The sequence below is a fragment of the Homo sapiens genome, chromosome 1, assembly GCF_000001405.40.
Source record: "Homo sapiens chromosome 1, GRCh38.p14 Primary Assembly".
NCBI lineage: Eukaryota > Metazoa > Chordata > Mammalia > Primates > Hominidae > Homo > Homo sapiens.
The window spans coordinates 203423217-203434482 of record NC_000001.11 but is presented as its reverse complement, the minus strand read 5'-3'; the positions used below and the strand labels follow the sequence as shown (position 1 = coordinate 203434482).

At 47.5% G+C, this 11266-nt stretch overlaps 1 long non-coding RNA gene across 2 annotated transcripts, besides 1 other annotated feature; it reads left to right on the top strand.

Moving 5' to 3' along the window:
* LOC124904487 (uncharacterized) lies at nt 5235-7437 on the top strand. Of its 2 annotated transcripts, none has more exons than XR_007066804.1 (2): nt 5235-5405; nt 6782-7437. It is a non-coding gene; the product is annotated as an uncharacterized LOC124904487 (long non-coding RNA). The 2 variants fall into 2 exon arrangements; XR_007066805.1 differs by having other exon boundaries at nt 6755-7437.
* Nucleotides 5303-5572: an enhancer, noted in NCBI's record as "active region_2350". NCBI's record gives its function as "activates an Ori minimal core promoter by ATAC-STARR-seq in GM12878 lymphoblastoid cells {active_cell/tissue: GM12878}" and the evidence as "EXISTENCE:reporter gene assay evidence [ECO:0000049][PMID:35858748]".
* Nucleotides 7438-11266: the final 3829 nt, after the last annotated feature.

Genomic DNA, 11266 nt, shown 5'->3' with positions numbered 1-11266 from the left:
ACATTCCAGGTAGAGGGACCAGCATGTGTGGGTGCCCTGGGCAAGCAGGGGCATAACATGTAGCAGAAATGGGAGGAAGGCTGATGTGGCTAGTGCCAAGGACTGAGGGGCTATGAGAGAAGAGGTGGACGGGGGTGCAGATTTAAGATGTGGGATCACATGCTAAGTAGAATGTAAAGGATGAAAGGGCTTTAAGCAGTGGAGTGGCATGATTCCATTTGGCTAGATGAGCCCATCTGGCACTCAGGTGTGGTGATGAGAGATTGGAGAGAGTAGTTAGAAGGGGTCTGCAGTGATCAAGGCGAGGCTTGCTGCTGCCTTACATTGGAGAAGTGGCCATGGGGATGGCTAGAAGTGGGTCAACTCGAGGTGTATTTTGGAGGTAGAAGGCGGGGCTTAGGATTGTGTAGGAAAGCTTTCAGGATTTTAGGGGGTGTTAAGCTTGCTGGGACTCAAGGAGCTGGCAATGGGTGGGTGTGGGGGAATGAATTTGAGGGTGGAATCTAGGATGACTCCCCATGTTGTAGGCTGGATCACCTGGGAAGATGAAGATGAAGAATTTAAGGAAAAGAGGGTGTTTCCTTTCTTCAGTATCCCTAAACACTCTCTTTTGAATAGGCTCCATTTTGCCTCAAATGAAGATATGAAGTGCTGATCTTCTTTTATTCTATGAAATGGAAGACTCCTGAAAATGGGTTCTCGTCAGCACAGAGTGGAGAATGACTGTTGCCCATCTGTTCTAAATTCCATGCTTCCATCCCATAGGGTTCAGGGTCTGGGTCCAGATTAATCCTGGCTGTACCACTTGCTAACCACAAGATCTTAGGTAAGTTACTTAAATCTCTCTGTGCCTCAGTTTCTTTTTCTGCAAAATGGGGATAAGGTAGTACTTCTCCCCTAGGTTATTTTGAGAATAGCATGAGATTGTGCTATACTGTAAATATTTGTATAGCTGAAGAGCCAATTTCATTTCTGCCACCTCCTTGAAACATACCATCCCTTAAGACCCCAAGAACTTTCCTGCATCTTCCATTTCTGAGTCCTGCCTTCATCATTCTGGGCTCACGCAGTTGAATTTTTAAACCCAAGTTCAGGGCCTGACATTTATCCCTGTTAAATCTCATCCTGTTAGATGCAACCGTTGGCACCTGTCAAATTCCTTTTTATTTTGATGAGGAAGAGGTAGCATGATGCATGCTAAGTTCATTTTTGTGGCCATAGAAACATTCATGGATGTTGCTTTTGCTGTCTTCTTGCCTCCTGGTGAGTGGCCCCTAGCCTGGGTAAAGGCAGAGGCCAAGTTGGGCTGAGATGAGGGAGGCGAGGAGGCTCAGCTTGGCCCAAGGGCGATCCAGCACAACCATCCTGGTTCCCGTCTCCCAAGTCAGGCGCTGGCTTTGAGTTCTGAGATGCTGGGCCAGAGAGACCTGTTCAAAGTCACTTCGTGGGTTGGCCAGTGACAAGCCTAAGGCACAGGCCATGGCCCAGCTCTCTGTCCACAAGGCCCCACCACTTTATGATCTGACCTCTTTCCAAACCGCCCTGTCACATTCCCTGACCTCGGATCAGAGAAGAATGTGGACTAGACATGTCTCGCTCCACACGGCCCTCCGGCCTCTCCACTCCCACAGAGTGTGTATGTACCCACATGCCTCTAAGGGTAGCACCCCCCAACTCCCTCCCCCTCCACCCACACACGTACTGTGTCTGTGCTGGGTGAAACAACACAGCCCCTTCCACATTGGTTGAGGGGGGGTTGTGCTCCGCCCCACTCATGCTCCTCCTCTGACCTTTCCAAGGTCTCTGTCCCCACCTTGGAACTGATCTCACAGCAGCAGCAGGTGGCTTTGATGTTTATGCTTAACTGCACGCATCACTGAGCTTTCTTCCTGTGGGATTCTCTCTTCCTAACTTCCTAAGGGCAGGTAGATCTCCACCTTAGGCCAAGAGCTCCCTGAGGACAGGGGCTGTGTATCCCATGACTTCTTCCCCTATTCTCCAAGCACCTACTGGGCTCAGTTCATGGGGGGAGCTGGACTTCAAGGTGACCCCAGCATTTAGCAAAGGCCCAGAAGGACAGCCAAACCTAGAAGCCCTGGGAAGCAATAGCACATTGATTCTGCATTCCTCCCGGATTCCAGGGGAGTGGAGGTGGAAAGACACCCCCAGCCAGGCACAACAACGTGCCTTTGGTACCAGCCTCTGGGACTGATGGACTCATTGGTCCAGTGCCCACCACCACTCGCCCTCTTCCATTAATGCACTCCTTGTTCACCATGTATGCTGCAAGGTATTTTTCCAGGCAGTAGTTTCTTGGGAGATTGAATTTCCCTAATAAGTAGCCTTGCAAATAACTCAGAGGGCAGGGAGAGAGAGGAAGCTATCTCTCTAGATTCTAACACTGGCAATCCACAAATTAACCCTCACTGGAGCAACCTGCTCAGACTAGAGAAGGGAAAAAAGGTTCCTTCTCTAGAAGGTTCCTTCTTTTGCTAGTTCCACATTTCTCACATAATTCTTGGTTAATTTTCTCTGCCAACCTGTTGGTATGCCTTGGAGAAGACTGGGGGAGAGAGGGACTGAGATGAAAGAGAAGAAGAAAAGTGGCTCACGCCTATAAGCCCAGCACTTTGGGAGGCCGAAGCGGGCAGATCACAAGGTCAGGATTTCGAGACCAGCCTGACCAACATGGTGAAACCCCGTCTCTACTAAAAAAATACAAAAAAAAAAAAATTAGCCAGGCATGGTTGTGCATACCTATAATCCCAGCTACTCAGCAGGCTGAGGCAGGAGAATCACTTGAACCTGGGAGACAGAGGTTGCAGTGAGTCGAGATCGCGCTACTGCACTCCAGCCTAGGCGACAGAGCGAGACTCTGTCTCAAAAAAAGAAAAAAAAGAAAAGAAAAGTACAAACACTTTATATTTGTATAATGCTTTGTATCTTTTCAAAGGACTTTGCCTCTATAAACCCAATACTCATTACATGCTATCAGTATAGACCCATCTATTCATCAGACTTTTAGTGAGAGCCTACTATGTGTTGGGCATTATGCTAGGCACTTAGAGGGATGTGATAGCAAATTAGACCTGGAGGAGATAAAACCTTGGATAGGGAGACAGAATAAACAAATGATGAGGATTTAAGGTGGAAAAAGGGGTAATGGGGATCAAAGGAGGAAAACACCAACCCTATAGTAGAGTAGAAATAGCAAGCACTTTACAAAGGAAATGATAGCTGAGCTGGGTTGCTTCTAATAGAGGAGGAAAGGAGGAGCCATAAGGAAGAGTTCTTATTTTGTGTAGCCCAATTCTCCCTGCAACTGATGCTTATCAGTAGAGAGTAACCAGCATGGTGAAAGGCCTAGAAATCATAGTGTACTGGGAAAGGGTGAAGGAAATTTGGAGTTTGAGCTGGAGAAGAGACTTGGAGACAAGCGACACCCTTGTCATTATTTGAAGGACTGATGGATTCATTTATTTATTTATAGACAAGGTCTTGCTCTGTCATCCAGGCTGGAGTGCAATAGTATGATCATAGCTCACTGCAGCCTTGAACTCCTGGGGTCAAGCAATCCTCCTGCCTCAACCTCTTGAGTAGCTGGGACTGCAGGTGTGCACCACCATGCCCAGCTAATTAAAAAATTTTTTTTTTGTAAGGACAGGGTCTCATTATGTTGGCTGGTCTTGAACTTCTGAGCTCAAGCAATCCTCCCACCCCAGCCTCCCAAAATGTTGAGATCTCAGGCGTGAGCCACCACACTCGGCCAGGACTGATGGAAATAAAGACAAAGTAGATCCTCCCTGTGACTCCAGTGGGGAGACCCAAGGCCACTGGGTGGGAGGAAAATATTTTAGCTCAAAAGAGAAAGACAACATGTGATGCAGTGCAGACAAAGTAACCAGGGGTGTTTTCCCCTTTCCCTAAGAGGGCATTTGGCAATGTCTGGAGACAATTTTGGTTGTCACAACTGGAAGGTGAGGTGCTACTGATATCTAGGGGGGTATCTAGCCAGGGATGCTGCTGCTACACATTCCACAGTGCACAGGACAATAACCCTCCACAGCAAAGAATCATCCAGCCCCAAATATCAGAGTGCCAAGGTCAAGTAACTCTAATGCAGTGGAAGAAGCCCAGGCTTGGGGTTCTAATCTCTCATACCAGCAGTGCCATTTACTAGCCTTGAGACTGTGGGCAAGTTACTAAAACCCTCTTGTTATCAGTGTCCTCATCTGTAAAATGAAAATAATAGAACCAAACAAAACCACCGAATCCCAAATTCAGTGGGTTCTTTCTGAATAGTGCCCAGCAAAGTCCCTGGTATAGAGAAGGTGCTCCGTAGTGCCTGTTATTAAAACACAAGGAAGATTTTATTTCCTTTTCATCAGTGAAACTGCCTAATAATTGATCAGAGTGCCAGAGAGGTTATGAGTTGTAATGAGTTTTCTGTACCTGGGAATGCTCAACTTCCTGCAGGGACGTTATAGAGGGTTTTCTGGAGTAGGTGTGTCAGTCACTTGGTCCTTCTATTCTGGCATTTTTCTAGAGGCGGATCAAGACATCTGCATTGCTTTTTTGTTTGTTTGTTTGTTTGTTTGTTTTGAGACGGAGTCTCACTCTATCGCCCAGCTAGAGTGCAGGGGCGTGATCTCGGCTCACTGCAACCTCTTCTGCCCGGGTTCAAGCGATTCTCCTGCCTCCGCCTCCCGAGTAGCTGGGATTACAAGTGCCTGCCACTGTGCCCGGCTAATTTTTTTTGTATTTTTAGTAGAAGTGGGGCTTCACCATTTTGGCCAGGCTGGTCTTGAACTCCTGACCTTGCTATCCACCCACCTCGGCCCCCCAAAGTGCTGGGATTACAGGCGTGAGCCACTGTGCCTGGCTGACATCTGCACTGTCATAGGGGATCGCTCAGAGTGGTGGGAAAAACTACAGGGAAAGGATGCAAAACTTCTGAAAGGTCAGAAGGTTCTGCAGAGCCCTGGGGGAGAATGACTGAGGGCAGCTGTTCTATAACCCTGAGGCAGAGGGCAAGGAGCAGGTACAAGGGAGTGTGGGGGATTTTATCTTAAACAAGCTTGTTATGTTGACCAGGAACTGACTTTTGATCATCTGCGCACATGAAGTTCCCTGAAAGGGGAACAATAAATGTTAATTACCTACAGGTTGTGTTGGCTCCAGGTTTTTGGCATTGTGCCTGCACTGAATAAAAGCAAGCAGCTCCAGTTCTCGGGGCTGAACTCCGGCCACTTGAGCTGCTCTTACACTGTATACCTGTGTCTGAGTACTCAGTTCATCCACCAGTCAGGGTCTGTGGGACAGACTAGGCAGGTGGTGCCCCGTGTGAGGAGCAGCGCAGTGGATCATGATGGAACCCTCGAAAATGAACGTGAAGTGACTGCGCAGTAAGTAATCGGTGCCCGCTGGGGATTTCCAAGTTTGAGGGGATTTTCCAGCTAGGGTTTCATCATGGGACAACAGTTATCCCCTCAACAGCAACAGTGTATTGAAACAATTGCCTAAAGCTAGCAGAGCCTCAGTCTCAGAGATCCAATTAAAGGACCTGATGCAAACTGTTGTTTTCCATAACCCATGGTTTCCAGAAGAAGGTACACTAGACCTAGAGCTCTGGGAACAAGTGGGAAGAAATCTTAAACGACGTGCGCAAGGGCAGTAGGTCCCAGTAACATCTTAATGTTATGGTCCTAATAGGGTTGCTTTGGCCCTGCTCTTCATAGAAGAGCCCAAAAAGATAAGGGAAGAGGAACCACTACCCACTTTAATGCCTCAGCCTCCCTCAGCCTTGCCGTCACTGGCTAAAGATACCAAAGAGGAGACGGAGGTTTTCCTCCCCCTCCCCCCAATGAACTGGGAAGAAGACAAGCGATATACTACAGTTATGGGACCCTGCCTTAGGCAAGCAGCATTGGAAGGGGAACTCTTGGCCTGCCCAGTGATGCAAGATCAACAAGGCAATTGGGTGCATGAGCCCATTACATTGAACACTTCTAAGGAAATAAGAAAAAGCATTAGAGAAAATGGGGCCACTAGCCCATTCACAAGAGGATTAATTGAGGCAATAGCAGATAACTACCATATGACTCCATGGGACTGGTCAGTGCTAGCTAAAACAACTTTAGGAGGCGAGTCAATACCCCCTCTGGAGGGCAGAATATGATGAATTGTGTGAACAACAGGCTAACCAGAATCAATTGCCTGGACAAAACATCGGCTGCTATGCTCCAGGGGAGGGGTCCCTATGTTAATGTACAACAACAATTAAATTTTGTCCCCCAAGCCTATGCACAAGTGTCCTTATGCATCTTCAGGGCTTAGGACCAAATTCCCGAAGGCAGAGTTCAACAGGGATCTTTTGTAAATGTTCAACAAGGGCCACAGGAGCCATTTATTGAATTTATCCATCAGTTAACCCAGGCAATTAAGAGCACACATGGAACATCGACCATTCCACGGGTATCTCGTATAACCCTCAAGGACAAGCCATAGTGGAACGTGCCCATTCCACGCTTAAAAATATGCTTTAAAAAAAGGGGGAATATGAATAAGGACCCTACAACACTACTAGCACAAGTCTTATTCACCCTTAATTTCTTAAATTTAGATAATAAATTTCAATCAGCCATAGAAAAGCACTTTGCTAAAACCTCCCAAGATACAAAGCCTTCAGTGTTATGGAAAGATGTAAATAGTAATCTATGGTGCAGTCCACATGATTTGCTAACATGGGGAAGAGGATATGCTTGTGTTCACATCCCCTCAGGTCCTCTTGGGATTCCAGTGCAATGCATCAAACCATACCATGGCATGGCTGGGACCCAATGCAGTACTGGAAATGAAGAATGTGAGCCTGTAGGACCCGCAGCCCCGGACAATGCAGCTTCCTCGGACAACACAGGTCCCGGATGGGGAATGTGAAATAGACAACTGGGGGATGCTAAATAAGACAACTCAGGAGGCTAAGTGAATCACAGACACCATTCACTCCAGATAATCTGTTCCTTGCTATGCTGTCTGTTGTACATTGCAACTCTTGTAAGGATGCAAAGCTGGAACACAAGCTGTAACCGCTGCACCTGTCAAACCTGTCGCTGCACACATCTGTACGCTTCAATCAACTAAACCTGATGCAAAAAACAGAAAAGGGAGAGATGTAGGGGATCACTCAGAGTGGTGGGAAAAACTATAGGGAAAGGACACAAACCTTCTGAAAGGTTGGAAGGGTCTGCAGAGCCCCTGGGGAGAATAGCTGGAAGCAGCTGTTCTATAACCCTGAGACAGAGGGCAAGGAGTAGATACAAGGGAGTGTGGGGGGAATTGATCTTAAACAATCTTGTTATGTTGACCAGGAACTGACCTTTGATCATCCCTGCATGTGAAGTTCCCTGAAAGGGGAACAATAAATGTTAATTACCTTCAGGTTGTGTTGGCTCCAGGTTTTCAGCATTGCACCTGCCCTGAATAAAAGCAAGCAGCTCCAGCTTCCCAGGGCTGCGCTCTGGCCACTTGCACCAGGCAGTCCTCTGGCTGCTCTTACATTGCATACCTATGTCTGAGTACTCATTTCATCTGTCAGCCGGGGTCTGCAGGACAGACCTGGCACATTGTAGCCCTAGCACCCCATGAATCGAAGGGATTGCACTTTTCCAGAAACCAAGAACTGATTGGATGGGGGCTGATCAAAGTGGTATTAGAACCTTACTCCCTGCCTCTTAAATAATGCTCTACCCCTCCTAGCCCCTAACTCCTTGGTCCTGGCCTTTAATAACATGTGAGAAACTGAAGAAGGTCCCCAAAAAGTAATGCGAAGGACACAGAGGTCAGAAGGGGACAGAAGAAGAAAGGGGAGGCTGAGGGGAGGCCAGAAGCCCCGTGACAGATGTGGAGCAAGACATTGACCTGTTGATCCCACCGCCTCAGAGGCCAGCAGGAAGAAATGAGCCGCACTGAGGAAAGTCCACACAGAAAGTGGTTCCCAAGGGAAGGTGAGGGATTCCATCTGGGGGAACAGAAATTAGAATCAGCAACCAAACATGAGTCCAGGTTCTGGGCTCAGACCCTCGTGGACTGCTATTGAGGCACAAATGACAAATCTAAACTGCTATGGAATGGCATGAATGTGGCGATTTGAAGTGTTCTGAAATCTAGGAAAGGGAAGTGGGCAAGCCCCATGGCAGGGCACTCAGAATCTCCAGGAGGCTCTTCTCAGAGAACAAACACCCCACATGAAAACCTATTTGAGAATTACCCACCTAAAATGATGCTGAAGTGTAACTGCCTGAGAATGTTAACAAAAAATGATTTAAACTGAAAAGGTTTTTCATTTTTAGGTGAAGAAACAGATTCAGAGAGGTAAAATGAATTGTCTAAGATCATAGTTAGTGGCAGAACTGGAACTGAAACCTAGGGATATATATTTGTGAAAAGTTTTTTAAAACAGCGTGGCTGAGAACCAACCAATCGCATCAGACTCTCCTGTGTGCCTTGGTAAAATGCAGATTCCTAGACTCCACAGAGCTAGGGAATCAGAGTCCTTGGGGATGAGCCTTGGAAATGTATTCTTTTTTCTTTCCTTACCAAGTTCCCAAGAGCTAGAAAAGGAAATGTATTCTTAATAAGCTCACAAGGTGAGGTGACTCATATGTACATTAAGCTTCAGAGCCAGCAGTTTAGATAGGTTTGCTGATGGTAGACAGATGGAGTCCAAGACCTCTGAAGTGCCTCCCAGTCAAGGAAGCTGGGAATCTATGATGTAGGTACAGCATAGGGTAGCTGCAGCCCCCTCCCCTCTCTTTGTATAGAGGTCATCTCAGGAACTTCCAGGAAGAGTCAAATAAAGAGCTGTCACACACCCTAGAGCTGGAATCTGCACCCTCCACACCAACCCCTTTGCACAGCCTGTCTGCTCTGCATGATCCTGCAGCTGGTTACTGCAGCCTGGAAGAGCTGAGACAGAGAAGACAGACGTGGGGAGGGAGAATAACAATAATAAACAGACCTTAGACAAGAGGCTGCTGCATGGATCTCATTCAGCTGTTTACTCAGGACAATAGGTTATCTTGCGGGGGTCTGTTTTGGCTTGAGTGTGCCCATCAGTCCAGGCCAGCAGGCTTCTGCCCTGTGCCTGTCATTGCCAGGCTGTCAGGAGATGTGTCATAGTTTGCTTTTCTCTGAATTCCAATCACTGTCTACTGTTGCAGCTGAACCTGACTTTTTCAGATGTTGCTCACTGTCTGCTGTTACTGGTCCCCCATCACCTGATCCACTGCACCACAGAGTATGAGTTTGGGCAGGAGGGCAAGTCCACAAACCCAGGCCATGCAAACTGCCCTGTCCATCCTTCCCACTAAGCTCCAACTGAACTAGATGACATCGTCTGCTCCAATTGGGCTGTTTCCAATTCCCCAAACACACCTGGCACCCTCCCATCCCACACTGAGATTTTGCTCTTGCTGTTTCCCCTGCCTGGAAGTCCTTCCCCACATCGTCCAGCATATTCTACTCATTCTTTAGGGCCATGGCAGACATTGCTTGTTGCATAACCTTCATCTCTTCTCCCCTTCTTCATTTACAGTCCATTGATTTTGTTTAAGGAAGGGAGATCAATATGCCATCCTAAAAATATTGCTTCCAGGCTCCCTCGTTGCTAGAAGTGATAATGTAACACAGTTCTAGCCAATGGGATTTATGTATTTACTTATTTTGGAGACAGGGTCTCGCTCTGTCACCCAGGCTGGAGTGCAGTGGCATGATCTCGGCTCACTGCAGCCTCAAACTTCTGGGCTCAAACAATCCTCCCACCTCAGCCTTCCAAGTAGCTGGGACTACAGGCACACGGCACCATGCCCAGCTATTTTTTAATATTTATTTTTATCTTTTAATTTCCTTAAAATAAAAAAGGAAGAGACAGCTGGCCTGTGTCTGGCATGTGTGTTTTGTTTTTCCCCTTCTTGCTCCCTGGAAAGTCTAAGCCTGGGGGTAGAGTAGCCAATTTATAACCAAGAGGATAAAGACCACATGTTAAGGATGCTGGCCTGGAAGACAGAAGGAGCCTAGGTCCTTCATGACATCTTGAGGTTTGCACCGTCCTATCTCCACACTTCTTATAACAAGAGACAAATAAACCTCTATTTGTTTAAACCTCGTAGTCAGGTTTCTGTTACATGCAGCCAAATGCAGTCCTAACCGATACAATGGCTTATCTAAATATATAAATTTATTTATTTATTTACTTATTTAAAGAGAGATGGGGGCTTGTTTTGTGGCCCAAGCTGGTCTTGAACTTCTGGGCTCAAGCAATCCTCCCACTTCTGCCTCCCAAAGTGCTGGGATTACAGGCATGAGCCACCTCACCCGACCTCTCCCTCCATTTCTAATCATCCTGGCTGGATAGGCTCCTTCCTCCCTCTGTGCTCAGTTTGCCCCTAATTCCTCTCCCAGGGCAGTTCTCTCTCTCTTTTTTCTTTTTTTTTTCTTGAGACGGAGTTTCGCTCTTGTTGCCCAGGCTGGAGTTCAATGGCATGATCTCGGCTCACCACAACCTCCGCCTCCCGGATTCAAGCGATTCTCCTGCCTCAGCCTCCCGAGTGGCTGGGATTACAGGCATGCGCCACCATGCCTGGCTAATTTTGTATTTTTAGTAGAGAAGGGGTTTCTCCATGTTGGTCAGCCTGGTCTCGATCTCCTGACCTCAGGTGATCCACCCACCTCAGCCTCCCATAGGTGGGATTACAGGCATGAGCCACCACGCGTGGCCAATTCTCTTTACCTACATGCTCATTGTATATTAGTCTCAGCAACTTCGATGTGAGCACCTTGAAGGAATGAGCCTTCCTCTTCCTGGTAACTCCTCACAGGAGCACCTGATCTTCGGAGATGCCTGGTAGAGATGATTGAAAAGAACTGATCAGCATTGGCCTCTTTCCCCCAAGATCTACCAGGGTCATAGCACTCTGAGGATTATTTTGTGATATTTCCCCCATGGCCTCTCCATCAACTGCCCATACTCCATAAGTTTGTCCCCTGTCCTCTGTCCAGATCTAGACTCCAGGGCAGTGAGGCACAAGGGAAAACTATCCTATCACCTCTTCTATTAATAGAAACAATTAGGAGAGCAGATGTAGCTTGGCCTCCTAAGGGTCCCTCCTTCTGCCCTCCTTAAGACTGTCTGAGGGGAAGGGCAAGTTCTGAGGCTTCTTTAGAACCCCTCCCCCCACCATAGACTCTTGGAGCAGACAGTGTCATCTGG